Below are 19,747 nucleotides of genomic sequence, written 5' to 3' on the forward strand. Positions count from 1 at the left end.
CATCTAAATTAATAGTGTTCTCAAGGCATTCCTTTGGCCTCTGTTTTAGTCTTTCCAGATCATGTGTTCTAGGAGAGAGAACTTCGGGAAGTCATCAAAACCACTGGTTCATTATAGAGCTACACCCCAGGGGGAGTATGGAGGATGAAGTCCAGCCCCAGGAGAGCATGAACACATTCTTACATAAATATGGAACCAATGGGTAATTTTAGCCAGAAAAATGTACTGACTTAAAATGCATTCTGTTACTAAGCTTATATCAAATAGGCCCAAGGGGACCTGTCAGAAAATTTCTTGCAAATTATGTTTATGTGTTTTTAGATGGTGTTTGGGTGGTTACAGTTCTTCTAGTATAGTAACATGGGAACAGTAGATAAATGACTAATAAAAAATGGTAATGGAATCCCTTGTGTTAGTTTCTAAAGTTTTTACCTCTTCAGGGAATAAAGAGGAATTAACCCATGAGCAGGAAGGGTTCTGGAAGAAAAGAAGCAGTTGTCAGTGTTGTTGTTTTGTTTGTTTGTTTGTTAGTTTTACAAAATTTTAACTGTCACTGCTGGAGAAAAGACCCCAGAATGAAAGGATTAATTTGCTTGATGAACCCCAGCAGATTTTACATAATTTAAAACTAACTAGTGGGACCTGCTCTAAAAATATTACATCTTGTTTCTCCCCACAGAAAGACTGTAGGTAGTCAAAAGTGATTGCTTCATCTGGAATATTGGCTCTGATTAAAAATCTTTAGACAGGACTTGGTTATTTGTTACTGGAAACTTACATAGCTTGGCCTGCATGCACTGACCATATTGAACATACACTTTTGATCTATCCATCTATCTAACCATGTCTACCATTTATAGAATACCAAGCAGTGTGCTGAGATCTTCATATGCATTGTGTTATATTAGCCAGTCTTACAACAACCCCGTTAGATCAGTCCTACTATTAGCCCCATTTTACATGTGAAGGAATTGAAGGCTCAGAAGGATTAAGTTAACTTGCACTAAGTTAACTTGAAGCAACCAAGGAGTACAAATGAGATCCCAATCCAGATCTGACTCCATTACTCTATATAACACACTGATATTTCTAAAGAAGGACACTAAAAGCTGTTACCTGAGTATGAGGGCAGAGAAAGGGGATTGGATTTGGTTTAACATAATCAAGTAGCTTGGGTGATTGAGGAGTAGAACCAAAAACTCATCTCCCTTGTCTTTGGTCTGGGCTTTGCTTTTGACCCTCTAGAGTGTAGGAAGCAGGGGACTGTTATCCCTGTGCCTGGAGTTGAGTCTCCAGGTCATCTTGCAGAGCTGGACAAAATCACCACTGCAGCAAGCCCGAGGTCTGAAAGCAATTATGCTAGGCCTAAAAATAAATGAGCTGCAAGTAAAACACAATTTAATAATGTCTAATTTATAAATTCCCCCTGCTTTTACAAAGACACCCAGCTCTTACATGTGGAAGTTCTGTGTTTTAGTGAAGGGAAGTGAATTACAAGGATTTTATTCCTCAAAGAAGCTGCCCCTGCCAGACAACCTTTCTGTGAGCTCATTGCACAGGCAGTCTGCCCTTGTGCACTTGGCATCTTGCTCGTCTCTTAATTTAAATGGTCCAGGTGGGCAAGCAGAGCTCCTTGAGGCCCTCCTTGCTCTCTGCCACTGAGGCAAGAGAACAGCCTTACTGCAGTTCCCCTCTCTCAGCTCCCACTCCTGACAAGATAAGCGGAAAAAATAAAAGCATAAATTTGGTTTTGGTGAGCATCTTCATGTGGCAACCAGCCTTGCAAGGAGCCTGAGTAAATGTTCTGCTTCCTCCTGCACATGAGCTAACAGGCTTGAAAGCCTGGAAGAAATAATTCCCAGGTTGCAAGAGAACAGTAGGATGACAGGTGATCTTGTTCCTCATTTGGTTCTAACAGAGATCGTGAGTCCAGCCAAAGCATTTGAAGTCTTTGTCACCCTTTGAATGGAAGCAGCAGGTCCCTTGAAATGGTGTAATATCAATGTTTTGGATTGGAATAGAAAATTGAGATGCAAGAGGACATGATTATCTGGATGTGCTAAAGGCACCTCATCATTTCCCTACAAAAACATTCCCTTGCCCACATCTTTTATCAGTGAATGGGTCCATCACATACCTAGGCACCCACGTTGGCACCCTACATTCTTCTTTTCAACCTCATCTTCCAGTAAGTCTTGTTGTTTTTCTCCTGAATGTCTCTTTTCTCTATCTTCTTCTTTTCACGTTGTCAACTGTCCAAATCCTCTTAATTAATCTCCCCGTCCCGCACCCATCCTCCGCACTGCTACCAGAGTGATGCTTGTAATCAAGGAATAATAATTATCATTACAGCTAACATTTTATCTGGGCTTACTAGGTGCCAGGCGCCATGCTAATAACTTTGCCTCTATCCTTTTATTTACTTTGATAACATCACATCCTGCTCTGCAGTTTTTAATGATTCCTTTTACCAGAAGAATAAAATTGTAATTCTTTAATACAGTATCATGATCTGGCCCACTCCTTACTGTGATTCATCTGCTGCCACTGTCACCCTTTCACTTGGCATCTGCTTGATCAGGCGCTACTCACAGCTCCCTTCACACGCTCTCATTTTCTGTGTTTTTAGACTTGCTGGCTCTTGTCCTCTACCTGCACACCCCCCTACCCCAACTTTTAACCTTTTTTACAGGATCACTTTCTTAGATGAGACAGTTTCACCACTGAACACCTTGGAGAATAGTAAGATCTATATTCTGGAACTTTACTACTAAACTTCATTGCCACAAATTAGCACCCTCAACAGACTATGAATTCTACATTCAAACAATCTATGTCAAAAGGAAGGCTTTAGATCACCATTACAAAACCCAAATCACAATTTTTGCCAACAATCAATATTTAACCAGCCAATCTGGTGGTTGGGCTTATGAAAACACAGTCCTTAAGTGGCAAATTTTGCAACCATATTCTCTTGAGGACAGGGCTCTTTGCCTGTTTTGTTTCATGCTTTCTTCCCACTTTCTAGGACTAAACCTGGCACATTTTAGGCACTTGAATATTTGTTTTGTTGATATGAAGAGACACGTTTTTGGCTATAACAAACATTTGGATATGTACACTTAATTTTTCCCCATGTTTTATTTTTCATTTTTGATGATGATGAGAGTGTAAACATTTCTAAAAAAAAGCAATTTAGCAATATGTATCAAGACCCTAAAATAATGTGTATCCTTTGTGGCAGAGACTGCAAACTGCCTACCCAATATCTATTTCCCTTTTCTTTACTAAGAGAAAGAAGTACTTCTTTACTACAGAAAACCTTTATTTATTGAGATGAAAAGGTGTCCAGCTAAACTTCTACATTTCCCAGCCTCCTTGCACCTAGGTGTGGCCATGTAACTAAGTTTCTATGGCTAGCAAGATGTAAGTGAAATTCTGTGGGAGGCTTCCAGGAAGTCTCCTTAGAAGGTGGACAGAACACTGATGAAATCCCCTTTGCTTCCCTGTCCTTCCTGAAGTCTAAAACTAAGGTTAGACTGCAGAATCTTCTACAGCCATCTTAGACTCATTGAGTCAAACAGGGTTTATTAGAGGCTGTTGGAAATATACAGAATTTCTAAATGGTCCATGGAACTTACCAAGCTGGGGAGTACTGGCCAAGGACAGCATCCAGGGGAAATGATGTTCTGAGGCACATCCCTCTGTCATGGCCTGGTTGCTCACCACTTGGCACTTGTGACAGGAGAATGTCAGCTCCTCTTAAAGAATCCAGGCTCCTCCTCCTTGACACCATCCTTTCCAGAGAATCTCGCCTTTCTCTACTTGACCACCCCCTCCCTGTGCTCTCTTCTGCCTCCAAGTCTTGCAGCAGTGTGTGTGCATGGAGGAAATCAAATCCCCCTAGAAACTGGAGCTACCAGGAGACCTGGAAAGCATCATTCTCCTTTCTGCTTTTCCAGTCTCTGAAGTACAGGAAGACACATGCAAAGGGGACTGGAGCAGGTGTTGAAGAGCCAGTATGAGGTACTTCCCACTCTCTCAACTCAACATCATCTGCAGTTCTTTGTGTCAGGGCTGTCATTGTTCAGAATCAGCAGGGATATCCAGCAGCAGGAATAAATAGTGAGGTTTGTTTCATGCATGTTATGCCGAGGGAGAAAAAGTTATAGAGCCCAGGAAAGAGACGCTATAGAATCACACTTGGCATTTAGAAGACCTCAAAAATGACAGGAAATACCAACTACCAGCTAGGCATAATCAATTCAATAATTCTGGGGAATAACAATGGCCTCCTAGCTGGGCTCCTGCTCTGACCATTGTTCCCTTCTCTGCACAATAATCAAAGTGATTGTGATAAAACTCAAGGCACATCACATTTCTCTTCTGCTCAAAACTCCCCACAGTCATCCCCTCTCAGGTAGAGAGAAGCCACAATCTGCACTCTCCTTGCTCCCTTCTGGACCTCATCTCTCACTTCCTCCCAGTGTGCTTCCTCTTGGTCACTCCAGCCTTTGTTTCTCTACCATTCCAAGTACACTCCTACTCCGGCCTTTGCTTTGCCGCTTTGCCTGGAATACTCTCGCCAGGTATCTGTGTGGGCTTTTCCTAGGTGACACTTTTTAGGGAGGCCTTCACTGGCTACCCATCCCTTGTTTAGCCTCCCCTGTCCACCAACTTTCTACCTCTGTTCCTCTTTATTTTTTTCTTTGCACTCATTGCCTCCAATGTACCATATTTTTCAGACATTTGTCTTATTTACAGATCATCTCTTTCCATCTCCTAGAATATAAGCCCAATGCAGGTAGAGATTGCTGTCTCCTTTCTTCATCATTGTCTCCAAAGAAACTAGAGCAGTGCCTGGCACACAACAAGTGCTTCACAGATACTTGTTGAATGGATGAATAAATGAAGGTACTGGTTAAATTAAAAAGCCATCAGACTGAAGACAAAATCAAAGAAATTTTTCCATAGAGGGATCTAATGTAAGTGGGGTTTCTAAAGAGACAGAAAAGGAAATTTTCTAACTCCCTCTTCCTTCCAGAGCTCCTTGGGGTCAGGACTGTGGAGGGGCTGTCTGCCAGCCACCCTCTGTAGAGAAACCCTGGAGCCGACATAGTTGTGGCTGGGAAAGAACATTGGCCGGGGAGCCAGGAGAGCAGACTGCAGCCTCGCCTTTACCCTTCCCACTCATGTGGCCCCTGATTTTACTGATGGAGAAACTGAGCTTCTGTGGGTTCCTACTTTCTTCCATGGTGTATTGGCACTGAAGGAATGATTCACTGATAAGTGACTTATACTCCATGGGTGTAACTCCAGTGCTCAGGGGCTACGTTTTTAGCCTTTGAATTTCCTCCAGAAAGGCTCATGGCAGTAAAATTCCTTCTTTCCACCCCATGGAGTGGGGCCACATCCCCCAGGCTGTGACCTTCTGCAGGCTTACACTGACACTCAGCGCCCATGGGGCTGGCCATGGCCTGCCTCTTTAGGATACCGCATCCGGTCTGCTGCCGCAATCTTGCTGTCCAGCCTCTGTTTCTTCCCTAAATACACAAGCTTTCCCTGCACCTTTCACATGAGTGTCTTGAAGGAATCCAGAAACATTTTTCTTTAACCTGCCTGAAATTTGTTTTGGCAGAAGTTCTGAAGGCTGAAGTCTTGAAAGATTTGGGCTCTGTTAAATTACAGACATAAGTTCGGTGAGGTAAATAGCTCAGGCAAAAATTGGAGTACCCTCACTGTTATTTCTGTGCTTGAAACTCTACCCATTCTGCAAACCCGACTCTAGAGCTGTCTCATCCACGAAGCCTTCCCAGGTCACCAGAAGGCAGGGCATCCTACTCTGCCAGTGGCTGAGTGGCAGCACGGCATGGAAGAGGAGCCAGGCTGATCAGATCCCAGGTCCTGTTAGCGGGTAACTTCAACCAAGTTCTCCAACTTCCCTGAGCCTCAGATTTCTCAATTGTAAGTAATGATAATGACAATATATTGCATACTTGAAAACTGCTAAGTTCAACCAATTTCTCAAACTTCCCTGAGCCTCAAATTTTTCAACTTTAAGTAATGATAATGACAATATATTGCATACTTGAAAATTGCTAAGACTGTAGATTTTAAATGTTCTCACCCCCCAAAATAAGTATGTGAGTTCATGGATATGTTAATTAGCTTGATCTAACCATTCTACAATGTGTACATATATCAAAACATCATATTGTGCACCATAAATAGACACAAATTTTGTCAATTAAAAACAATTTAAAAATAGTAATAGTGAAAATAATAGTACCTAACATTTATCAAGAGCTTAAGCCAAGCACTGTGCTAGATACATTACATTATCTGTTTTAATCAATCATCTTTAACAACCCTGTGAGATAAGATATTTTATTATCCCCTCTTTACATATGAGGAAACTGAAGGTAAATGGGATGATAATTTATACCTCACTGGGTGTTTAAAAATACATGCATCCTATCATGCAGTAAGCACTCAATAAATGTAAGTTCCTTCTCCATCATACCCACTAAACCAACTTGTAGGTGTTATTCTCAACACTTACCATATATTGTCTTATATAGCAATGTCCAGTACTGTACTGTCCTGGTTAGAGCATATAGGACAGGAGACAAGGGTTAGAGACTATTGAGAGTAAGCGAGGCCTGGGCTCCTGCGCTTGGACATGTTACTTAATCTTTATGCACCTTAGTCTCTTTCACTGTAAAATGAGAGTAAGACTGTTAACTCTAAGGATTCATTGAAATAATATATGAGTATAATCTAGAATAATGCCTGGCATATAGTAGCTATTATTACCGCTATTATTTATCATCAATGTTAAAATACATATCACTATTTGTTCAAAGTTTTCTGAACAATAAGACAAGTCTGTTCCATGTTTGTAAATCTGTTTGAGTCTTCATCCTATGCCTGAGATGCTATAAAATTGCTTCTCAAAGTGCATCCAAAGGGCCATCTGCATCAGAATGTCCTGAAAGCTTGTTAAAAGGAAATGTCTTGAGTGTCTCCCCAAAGCAAATGGATCATGATCTCTGGCAGTGACCCAAAATTTTGTATTTGAACAATTTCTTCAGGTAAGTCCCATGGGTACTGAAGTGTGAAGACCATTCTACTAGGAGCACCAAATATCTGTGAATGAAATAAGCAAATGGGCATATTATTAAGCTAGTGCTAATAACTTCAGGTTACAATGACCCTGGTTTTGCTCCTGACATAGAATTTTTTACTTCAATTCCTCATTTGGCTTTTCCTTGTCCCAAATCCTACTTCACTCTATTTCCTTGAATAGGTGGAATAGCTTTCTATTTAGGCACAGGTCTTCCTTAGGCTCTGAAAAATTCCTGAGAGTTGTTATACCCCAGCTGATTCATCAACAACATGTGCACAGACGTATGCACACTCTGGGTTCTGGCCTCTGATTATCATCCTGAAGCTCTATTAAGACAAGTTATATTGATGAAGGCTATAAGAAAACAAATACCTCAAAACTTTCAAAATACTATAATAATAATTTTTAATTGACATATAAATCTTTTTGACCTGAACATTTTAGCAAAGGGAGGAACAAAAACCTGAGTCACATGAAACATATGAATTAAATACATAGGTATTTGGGATTTATTTTTACACCAACTAGATGTTTTTAAAGGACATTTTTTAAAGCATCACTAAAGTAAAAGATTATTGTTCTATAAAGACATGTCATACCAACGTTTCAGTAGAACACTACCCCTTTAAAAATAAAAGGGAGGAAAGACAGAATAGTGATGTGGTCAGCAGAGTAATAAATTAAACTCACCTGGCAGAGTTCATTCTTCAGGTCTGAGGAATGTAAAAAAACACATTTCTAGTGAATGAAAAAATATCCACAGAAAAAGAGAACAGTTTCAAAACATGAAAGGAGAGGTTACAGTCTCAAAACCCTGACTCCAGCACAAACAGCATGTCCAGGTTAAGAGTCATACTCCCTGGGTAATTTCTATACCAAATATGCAACATTTTATATAAGCCAAACAAAAGCTCTCAAGCCCAACAAAACCCAAGCTTGCTTAATTTCTCCCACAAAAGGAAGACAGTAACAACCTAGAACTGAGCACTGCTTTTTTATTAATGGTGCCTATATTTTAAGTTTTTAGTTGATTTGGATAGTAAAAAACTACACACTAAAATGACTTATTTCAGAAGGTAGTAATTGTCATATGCTAAAAAGCTGAGCCTAAAGTTCTATAGCATTTGCATGGTCTCAGCTCTAGCAAATTTCTCACCCATTTCTGCTTCAATTTCTTCATCTGCAAAATTATAAAAAGAATTGTGCCTATTTCAAATGGTGGTTGTGAGGATTCTATGTTATAATGCCTGTAAAGCTCTTAACACAGTTCATTGCATATTGTAAGACCTTAATCAAAGCTAGTTTTTATAATCATACAAGATTTAGCTTGGAGATAAAGATGTCCACCTGTATTGGAATTAATAATCCATGTTTATTACCCTAAAAATAATAATGAGATATGATGTTGTGTAGCCCTAGGAGGGGAGCTAAAGCTCACATGGAAACTGAAGAACATCAGGTAAATCCAATTATCTGAGCACTGAGCAGCAGGAGGTGTTTGATATACATTAGTTGGACATAGCAAGCTGTAAAGGAGATGGTACTTTTAAACAGGACTCATGTCATCAAGAAGTTTCTATGCCAACAATAATTCATCATAAATTTAGGAAACAGTGCCAAATGCAACCCCAGATTATCTGAGTTGTAATTTCTAGGGATAATGGCTGTTAACTCCTTTTTCTCTGAGATATATAAAACCCTGAATATGAATTTGTATGTTTTCACAAGTTACACTGTAATAGTGAGGGAGTGGGTGATATTAATTTCTGTTTTCTGTTGGATAGGAAGAGGTCTAAGAAGATAAAACTGCTTTCATAAAGTCAGTCAATTGAAATAGAAACTCTATCTCTTAACACCAGATTTCAACTTCGATTCTGTAAAACTCACCGCCTTCACATGGGCCTAGAGTGCACAGTAGCTCTGATTTCCTTTGGTTTCATTTTTAAGAGTAATAACTTGTAAATTTAAACCAATTCCATGGTTTTTCCTATCACTGTCTTTCTGGATATGGTTTAGGGTGTTTTTCTTTGCAGCTTCTAAGTAAATGTGATGTAGGTGTGAGTCTCGTGCTGGGAAGGATTAGAAGGCAGTGCAGTCATGGAGTCTCTGGGGACCCACACCTTTGGTTTTTCATTACAAGCAGGTGCACCAAGCTGGGATCAAATACAAGATCTGAGAGAAAAGAGCCTGCATTCCAGGAAGCAGTGTCAGCTTCCAAGCAGGATGCAGCAAGGTAGTTGGGTGAAACTTGAGGATCAGAGAGATGGCTGTCCTGAAAGGAGCCCCCATCTATGGGGAAGTTTTATATACAGAAAATGGGTATCAGAATTTGAGATAATGACCAGTCAAGATAGGAGAGGTATGGTAGAAGAATCTGCTATAATAGAAGCTGAGAGGTCATTGACATCATGCCTATTATTTTAAGACAAATGGACAAAAAAGACAAATAGAACCTGTAAAGAAATGATGGTTCTATAACTCGCAAGCAGAAAGCAAATGAAATAAGAGAAAAATAAGTTTTTGGGCACCAGTGTTAGTTATCATTTGTTATTCTCAGAAATAACAAATACGTATGTCTAGAAATATATACCTTAGGAAAAACATCAGAAACAGCAAAGATTTCTGCTAGAAGATGTACATCACTGTGTTAGTCAGACTAATAAAATAATGGAAGCAGATTTCATGTTCAACCATGAGGGATTCTAAATAATTTAGCACATATTAATACAAGTAAATATTAGATGCCTATTAAATAAGCTCTTAAAGACTGTTTCATGGCACGAAAATGTTTACAATATTGTATTTAGTAAAAAAGCAAGACATAAAACATGTATACAATGTGATTTTCTGCAAAAGAAACACAAGAATGTAAAAGAAAAAAAAACTGGAGGTAAATGCCATAAAGGAAACAATGATACCCTATCATTAGGTGATGAATTTGTGAGAGATTTTTGTATTCTACAACTAGCTTTCAATAATAATATTATTTGAATAAAGGTTATGTAATAAACCAACACAGAAAGATGGCCAATGTGCCTGGAAACCATTTTTTTTTCCTACTAAAAGCTACTGTGCATATTAAACCTGGAGAAAGGCAATTCCAAATTAACCTTACGCAGCACTAACCCCATGGCTACCTTGGTTCAAACATAAAGGAATTCACCAAGACCACACTACTCAGCTGGCCTCAGGAATGCACATGTCTGAGCCATTTCCCTTCGGCCATGTGGGGAACATCATTCGCATATGTCCAGAGTTGTAAGCAGTCCAAGTTCTGTCATTTTCGGTGGGTAAAGGGAGGAAGAGGACTACGTGATGGCATGCATAGAATCGCATATCATCTCTTGTGCCATTATATCTTACCAGATTTCTTCAGGTGCAAACCCTGCAACATGCTGTTTATTTTTTTTCCACTCAAGAATTTGTCCAAAATTTGATATGTGAAAAGATGTCTGTTTGGCCTTCCTTCCTTCAGCGTTTTCACCATTCATTCAAATGTGTCATAGGAAAAGAAAACTATCTGATTAGCTTTAAAACTTTTATATTGTCTGCATTGAATTCTTTCTATTTATTTATTTATTTATTTTTTGAGGCGGAGTCTTGCTCTGCTGCCAAGGCTGGAATGCAGTGGCACAATCTGGGCTCACTGCAACCTCTGCCTCCGGGGTTCAAGCAATTCTCCTGCCTCAGCCTCCCGAGTATCTGGGACTACAGGTGTGTGCCACCACACCTGGCTAATTTTTTGTATTTTTAGTAGAGACCATGTATTTCACCATGTTAGCCAGGATGATCTCAATCTCCTGACCTCGTGATCTGCCCACCTCGGCCTCCCAAAGGTTTATTTGGTTTTTAAATGTTCTCCTCTTGGAAAATGAGCTTTTTCATATGCTGCAAGTAGGATACGAACTGGTACAACATTTTTTAAAGATCTTTTAGTGATTCAAAACATGTATACATGTATGTTCGTGTAAGTTTACCTACTTGAAAGTATGTATACCCTTTAACCCCAAATGCCACTTTGAGGGGTTTATTCTAGGTAAATAATCAGCAATATTTATAAACAAAGGTTTTGCTTTTGCTTTCTTTCCTACTTTTATTTTAGGTTCAAGTGGTACATGTGCAGGTTTATTACATGGGTAAATTGAGTGTTGCCAGGGTTTGGTGTACAGATAATTTTGTCACCTAGGTAATGCACGTAATACCTGATAGGGTAGTTTTTCAATTCTCATCCTCCTCCCACCTTCCACCCTCAAATAGGCCCAGTGTCTATTGTTCCCTTCTTTGTGTCTATGTGTATCTAATGTTTCACTCCCCCTTGAAAGTGAGAACAGTCAGTATTTGGTTTTCTGTTCCTGCATTAATTCGCTTAGGATAATGGCCTCTAGCTCCATCCATGTTGATGCAAAGGACATGATCTCATTTTTTTATAGCTGCACAGTATTCCATGGTGTATATGTACTACATTTTCTTTATCCACTTCACCATTGATGGGTATCTAGGTTGATTCTATGTCTTTGCTATTGTGAATAGTGTTGCAATGAATATACATGTGTGTGTCTTTATGGTAGAATGATTTATACTCCTTTGGGTAATATAACCAGTAATGAAATTGCTGGGTCTAGTGGTAGTTCCATTTTAAGTTCTTTGAGAAATATCTAGACTGTTTTTCACAGTAGCTGAACAAATTTACATTCCCACCAGCAGTGTATAAATGTTCCCCTTATTCCATCACCTTGCCAGCATCTATTATTTTTGGCTTTTTAATAATAGCCATTCTGACTGGTGTGAGATGGTATCTCATTATGGTTTTGATTTGCATTTCTCTAATGATTAGTGATATTGAGCATTTTTTTATGTTTGTTAGCCACATGTATGTCTTCTTTTAAGAAGTGTCTGTTTATGTCCTTAGCCCATTTTTTAATGCAATTGTTTGGTTTTTGCTTGTTGATTTTTTTGAATTCCTTATAGATTCTGGGTATCAGACCTTTGTTGGATGCATAGTTTGCAAATGTTTTCTCCCATTCTGTGGGGTGTCTATTTACTCTGTTGATATCTTCTTTTACTGTGCAGAAGCTCTTTAGTTTAATTAGGTCTGACTTGTCAATTTTTGTATTTGTTTCAATTGCTTTTGTAGTCTTTGTCATGAAGCCTTTGCCAGGGCAAAGTCTTTGCCTATATCCAGAATGGTATGTCCTAGATTTTCTTCTAGGGTCTTTATAGTTTTATGTTTTGCTTTTAAGCCTTTAATATAACTTGAGTTGATTTTTGTGTATGGTGAAAGGTAGGGGACAGTTTCAATCTTCCATTTATGGCTAGTCAGTTTTCCCAGCACCATTTGTTGAATAGGGAATCCTTTTCCCATTGTATTTTTTTGTCAGCTTTGTCAAAAATCAGATGGTTGTACATGTGTGGCTTTATTTCTGGGCTCTCTATGCTTTTCCATTGGTCTATATGTCTGTTTTTGTATCAGTACCATGCTGTTTTAGTTACTGCAGCCTTGTAGTATAGTTTGAAGTCAGGCAGTGTGATGCCTCCAACTTTGTTCTTTTGTCTTAGGATTGCTTTGGCTATTTGGACTCTATTTGTTTCCATGTGAATTTTAGAATGGGTTTTTCTAATTCTGTGAAAAATGTCATTGGTAATTTGGTAGGAATAGCATTAAATCTGTAAATTGGGGCAGTATGGCCATTTTAATGATATTAATTCATACTATCCATGAGCATGGAATGTTTTTTCATTTGTTTGCATCATCTCTGACTTATTTCAGCCGTGTTTTGTAATTCTTGTTTTAGAGATCTTTCACCTCCCTGGCTGGCTGTATTCCTAGGCATTTTACTCTTTTTGTGGCTATTGTGAATGGGATTGCATTCTTGATTTGGCTCTCAGATTGGACATTATTGACGCATAGAAATGCTACCCGTTTTCGCTGGGCGTGGTAGCTCACACCTGTAATCCTAGCACTTTGGGAGGCCGAGGCACGCAGATCACCTGAGGTCAGGGGTTCGAGATCAGCCTGGCCAACATGTTGAAAGCCCATCTCTACTAAAAATACCAAAAATCAGCCGGGCATAGTGGCGGGTGCCTGTAATCCCAGCTACTCAGGAGGCTGAGACAGGAGAATCGCTTGAACCTGGGAGGCAGAGTTTCCAGTGAGCCGAGATCGTGCCGTTGCACTCCAGCTTGGGCAACAAGAGCGAAACTCCGTCTCAAAAAAGAAAGAAAGAAAGAAAGAAATGCTACTGGTTTTCATGCATTGATTTTTTTATCCTGAAACTTTGCTGAAGTTGTTTATCAGATTGAGAAGCGTGCAGAGACTCTGGAGTTTTCTAGATATAGTATCTTATCATCTTAAAAGAGAGATTGTTCGACTTCCTCTCTTTCTATTTAGATGTCTTTTCTGTCTTTCTCTTGCCTGATTGCTCTAGCTAGGACTTCCAGTACTATGGTGAGTAGGAGTGGTGAGAGTGGGCAAACTTATTTTATTATGAACAAAAGTTTCTTATCAGATTATTATTTATAATTGAGAAAAACTGAGAATTATCTAAATGTTTAAAAATAGGAGATAAATTAAATGAATAGTATATTCACAAAATAGTAAACTATGCCATTGTTTAAAAATAATAATATTTAATGGCATGAAAATATTTATGGTATATTGGTAAGTACAAAAAGCACAGTATAGAACACTGTGATGCTAATTTTGTTATTTTTTTTTAAGGATGACTAAAAGCCTGTACAACACAGTGTCAACTGTAGTATCTCTGGGTGACTTTTATGTACTTTTTCTATTTTCCTATGTTTTTCAAACATTATATATTGAACATACATTATATTACTTTACTAATAAGACAAAATAAGTTATAATATTTCAAATTTCTTTGCATTAAAAACCAGTGTTCACATATGAAATTTGGTTTAAACAACAACATTGACTATCACATGTCATTGGCAACTTTTGGATAAGACACAAAAGCTCATAGAAAAGGCTAAGCCAATAATATTTGTTGAGAATTTACTATGTGCCAGGTATTTTGCCAAGCTTATCTAATTTAATCCTCATATAAACCACCTGAGATAGATGGTGTACAGCCTTTCTTTAATTCCTCTTTATATACTGGAATATAATTCATCCAGAAGATTTTCTCACAAGGGTCTTGTTCAATGTCATTGAAACCACCCTGTATTTTTCAAAATGATGATGATGAGCTGATTCCTGAGGTTGGAACTGAAAATTGTTCTGTGATTGTGAGACATGGCTCTTTGAAAGCATCACAAGCACCATCACAGTGAGGAAACACAAAGACTTCTGGGAAGGAATTAGTTATTGGCACCAGGAATCGATGTCTAAGACAGATGTCCATGACTTCCGTCCAGTCTAGCCTTAAAAACTTGTAAACACATATCTCTATGAAGAACCAGAACCTCTCTGAGGGGAATGTGTATTCGTTCTCCTTCCTTTTGGATCTAATCATTTTACCAAATTACTTGAGAACATGCACCAAAAAACAAAAAGAAGTGTAACTTTTCCTTTAATGGATTAAATAACCAGAAAGTTTGTAAAGTGGAAAAAGTAAGTATGAATTCTATTTTCCCTAAGATCAGAAGTAAAACAATTTAATCTTTTTGAAGAGATCAGATAATTTGGTTTTGGCATTTAAAATTCTCTGTCTCTTTTCTGAGAAAGGATCACTTGATTTTATAAATTCTTTCCTCCATCAATTAAAAATACTCTGATTCTTCCTAGTGATTGAGGTAAAAAACAAGGTTTCATATAGATGTTTTTCTTCTAGTGGCCACAAAAGTAGGGTTTAACATTTAGGGAATGTGTATCTCATCTTTTCTGAAGTTTTATTTATTAACAATGTGTCATTTTTATATTTTATGAAGAATGCTTCCCAAGACAGTGTGGCTGAATATCTCAACTCCAGTTGGATGGGAGTAAAAAGGCCTTTATAATTACAGGGTGGAAAAGTAATGCAAGCTTCATTTAGACAAAGAGTTCTTTGCCCTAGACAACTTCAAAAAGTGACCGAGGGAGGGTCTGGAATTTCATTTAAATGAACATGGTGCCTGTCATTATACTTGACACCTGGGTTTAGTATCCAAATGCTGAATGAAAAAAAAAAAAAAAAAAAAAAAAGCACAGACCACAATAGGACAAGATAGATACCTCTGTATATTGCTCTTCACGCAACACTTTCCTCATTGCCAAGAAGAGTATTATAAATCACTCCCTGATTATTCTTCATATGTTCCCCAGATTGTAGTTCATTTTCCCAAACTTCAACTTATTGCTCTTTGCTGGACTGTAAGACCAGAGTGTGATATTGAAACCAGGCTCAACTTCTTCAGAACTCTACTATTCATATTACTCAGCCTTTGTGGTTGTGCTCAGTGCTAAATCTATGGTTGCTCCACTCCCATTAAAAGCTCCCTGGATTTTGTTTAAGCAGGGTGATATCCTTTGTTACCTCTGAATGGCCTGTGGACAATTTTGGCTAACCCTTGAGAAGTCCACACACTTTGCCTGGTTTGACGTACTTCAGAAGCCATCAAATATAGCACATGTAATGGCTCTGTGACAGGAAGATTCTGAAGCTGGGGACTAGGAATATATGTTGTCCTAATTACTGAGGGATGCTTTTACCTATCAGTATAAGCTCTGAAAGGAAATGGATGTGGCTAAGTGTACATGGATCATTAAGCTTTCTTCCTTCTATAAACTGTGATCTTTCTTCCAATTTTAACTTGAATGTCAGGCAATAGGATCACAGTTCCAAGAAGAAAAAAATGTTTAAGGCCTGGAGAAGGGAACGGTGGGGAAAAGAAGTAACATTTTTAAAAGTCTCTTGAGTTTTAAGTGGAGACACTGAAGGAGGCAGGATCAAAGACATCTTTTCATAATACTGGTAATAATTATTACTGATGATAATTTAAATACTTGATTGTTTCCACTATATTCAAAGGAGACTTGTGGTTTGGTTGTGCCTCCAGAAATTACAGAATATAAAACAAAGTTGGAAAGTTGCACATGGACCAGACTTTGTAAAGGAAAGAAATAGCATTTGAAATTTAAATAGAACTCATAGAAATTATTTTGCAAAGATAATTTATTAGGAGAAGCAGAAAGAACTCTAACCAAAAAAGAATAAGGTGTCACATGTGTTTTTTACGAAACAACATAAAAGGGAGCTTTAATGATGCCTTCCAGAATGCAGTAATAAATATTGGTGATATAATGTAGGGATTGGGCATGATGGGTGGAAGCAGGTAAATAATAAATATTCACTGGACCAGATTCTAGTATAGAGTTGAGTAGGGAGAAGCCAAGTTACAATTTTTGCACAAAGAATACCGTGTTCTCAAAACTCCTTGCCTCCTCCAAAACACTATATCCATTTGAAGAAGGGTTCCAGCCAGAACTCAGTTCTTCCATGCCCCTCATGTCTGACAAGAAGTTCTGCAAAAACATGTCTTGCCAACCTGCACATCACTCATGTCCTGAACTTTCTGGAAATTTAAGCCCTCATTGGGAGAATAGGATGTTTGTTTTAAGTTCCCTCTATAGGCCCATAGGAGTTTATAACTGCCTGTAGCTGGTGCCAGCTATACAGACTGAAGTGTGTAAAGATCAACTATAGATAATTGAGTTAGAGATTGCTAATAATCACTGATGGTTAACAAATCAACAAAAGAATTTATCAAATATCCTTGATATGTAAGGCCAGAGGAATATAAATAAATTTAAGACACAGCTGCATTCAAGAGACCTACAATCTTGTTGTAGGGAGGACATTAGATATTAGTTATTGCTAGGTATTGTTAGTTAATTTTTCATGAATATCAACATGAATTGGATGATCAATAAAAGCCATCAAGTTCAGATAAAGGAGAAATAGATCACCAGGAACTAGAGTGATGACAGTCTTCAGAAAATTTATGAGACCTGAGGAAGGAAGGGAGAGAACAAACATACCTTCACATGTTCTTTTACTTAATCCTCTCACTGAGTATCTGAGGTAGATTTTGTTCTTATTTTACATATGAGAACACGGAAGCCCAGAGATGCTTAGAAACTTGTGAAGGTCACAAAACCAGTAAACAGAAACATCAGGATTTGAACCCAGTTTCAGCTGCATTCATAATCTTATACTCTTTGCACTTTATCATGAAGGATGGATGGATGTGATGGGCTGAGAAGAGGCCAGAGAGCTGATTTAGAAAACATAGGTGCTGATTCACAAAACACAGCATTTGGCATGTGTTTTCTAAAGAAACACCTGCCAGATGATTGAAATTAGTCCAGAAGTTAGCAGCTGTCTCAGTGAAGGAAGAAGGAAAGAAACATGGCAGCCCAACACACGGAAGAAGATGCTATAATTGGAGAGTTTTTAGCTAATTATTTTCCTATTTGGGGTTTCTCCAGAAGCAGACTGAGAGACAAAGATTCAAATGCAAGCAGTATGTAAGGGTCAAACTGGAAAAATTGATAAAAAACTATAGGAGTGAGACAGAAGAGAAGGCAGCAAACACAAGGTCAGATATTAAGACAACGACCACTGTGGATAACAGAAACTTAATCTTACAGGGGAATCTTTGGAAAACGGTGTAGAAAACAAGCCTCAGACTCCTCCGCCCAAGTATTCAGCTCCTACCAGCCATTGGTTAAGAACTGCAGGTGGCAGAGGGTACAGTAGTTATTTCTCTGGTACTGCTTGTCTACCATGTATACAAAGAGACCTTTATCCAAGTCTTGGAGGAAAAGCCCAAGGAGAATGCATAAGATACTGACAGCTGAAGCTCGCTGCCTGAATGACATGGTTAAGGCCCAGGGATATGCACAGGGCATTGATAGCACCTGCTACAAACATCAGTATCTTTGGCGCAGGCTTTGTGATATTCTCTATTATTCTACCCTCTTTGAAGTGTATGAGTATGCAGATCATTGTCTCTCAAACTTCCGAGTGCATAAGGAGCACTTGGGAAGCTTGTTAGCAAACCAGATTCTGGAAACTTACCCATTGAAATTCTGACTCCTATTTCAGGAATGGAGTCCAGGAATTTGCATCATTAATAGGTATCCCAGATGATTCTGACACATAAGGTCTGCGGATCACACAATGAGAGACAATGCCCGGACTGTCCAAGTATTATACAAAAAATATACGAACAAGAGGGAAGCTCTGTTATTCGGTAAAGAGAATGGCTTTTGGATCAAGGTATCCTTGGATTTGAAAGCTGGCTCCATTACTTAGTGATCTTAGGAAAGTTAAATAATCTCTTTGCTTCTGTTTCTTTACCTATAAAATTGGGGTAAAAGCACCCATCTCAACTGTTTGTATGAGAATTAAATAATGTAATACAGAATAGTCCAGAGCAGTGTAAGGTACATGGTAAGTGCTCAGTGTTAATTCCCTCCTTTAATTTTTCTTAGGAGATTAAAATCTGTTGACTTCTTTGTACCAATGGCAATTGATTGTTAGTGCTGTTTGACAAATTATGCCTGTATAATTTATACAAATTATAGAAGAAAACTCAGTAATAAAACAATGCAGGCCTCAGCTCTAAATTTACCCCATACTTTGTCAGTGCACCTAAAACTTGGGCTATTTTTTGTCTTCCACTTGCAATCACATTACCTAATGATTATCCTGGGGCTATCAAAAGAAATGCTCACATGCCAAGGAACAGATCAGGTTGATCTGGCTTCTAGATCTTGCCCAAGGACTTGACTCTAGATTCTCATTCTTAGACACTGAATTTCTATACTGAGAAGCTACTACATTTGGTTTATTGGCTCTTTATGTTTCCAGGAATGACATTTCCAAGCATATATTGGGGAAAAAAAGGATGATACCAAGAAAAAGATTAGAGACAACGCATAGATCATGATTTTGGATAAATCATGCCTATTTATTGTTATCCCATCATACCCAAATTGATTGGCAATCAGAATGAATTTGAAATTATAATAGTATTACCATAATATGGACCTAAAAAGATGAATATTATAGCACAAAGCAAAATGCTTTGCACTTAGAAGATCCACAAATGCTTGTTGAGTTTATGATGTCATTCAGGGCACCCGGTCATCTTTATGCTTCCTCAACGTCTCTAGGTACAATCGTTTTCTCCCATGACTCATCTTTCTCTTAGTCTCCTAGTTTGGCCTAAGTGTTAACCAAATCTCTTTTGCCTTAGTTTAAGATAATTGACTTCTACTTTGTCCTTGGAATATGGAGAAAAATATAATAAAGAACGAAGCTTTGTTAACTTAATTGCATAAATAACATGTCTAGACTAATACTAGTGATTTAAAAGGAAAAAAAGCTTTCTATAAATATTGATCCCATTTCCCTGATATGGGTCTTTTGCCATAGCACAGTGCCACCCACAAACATGGAGCAAGGGCATTTGTTTTTTTAAACACAAACGTATGAGATATGCATTCCAGCATCTAAACATCACCAGAAAAACAGACACTGCTGGACATGAAGCCTGAAGCATGAGCCAAACAGGAAATCACTCTTTTATCTAACCCCATGAAACTGCACCTTCTAAAGCAGTCATTTTCCCCATGTCTACTCAGGAAAGCCAGTGTAGTCTAATCATATAAAG

The 19,747-nt window shown here is 38.3% G+C and overlaps 1 annotated feature.

The window, feature by feature from the left end:
• Positions 4,121-4,622: an enhancer, noted in NCBI's record as "NANOG hESC enhancer chr1:170284235-170284736 (GRCh37/hg19 assembly coordinates)". NCBI's record gives its function as "activates a minimal SCP1, AML or CMV promoter by ChIP-STARR-seq in naive H9 embryonic stem cells {active_cell/tissue: H9 hESC(naive)}" and the evidence as "EXISTENCE:reporter gene assay evidence [ECO:0000049][PMID:30033119]".

Source organism: Homo sapiens, chromosome 1, assembly GCF_000001405.40.
Source record: "Homo sapiens chromosome 1, GRCh38.p14 Primary Assembly".
In the NCBI taxonomy this organism is placed as follows: domain Eukaryota; kingdom Metazoa; phylum Chordata; class Mammalia; order Primates; family Hominidae; genus Homo; species Homo sapiens.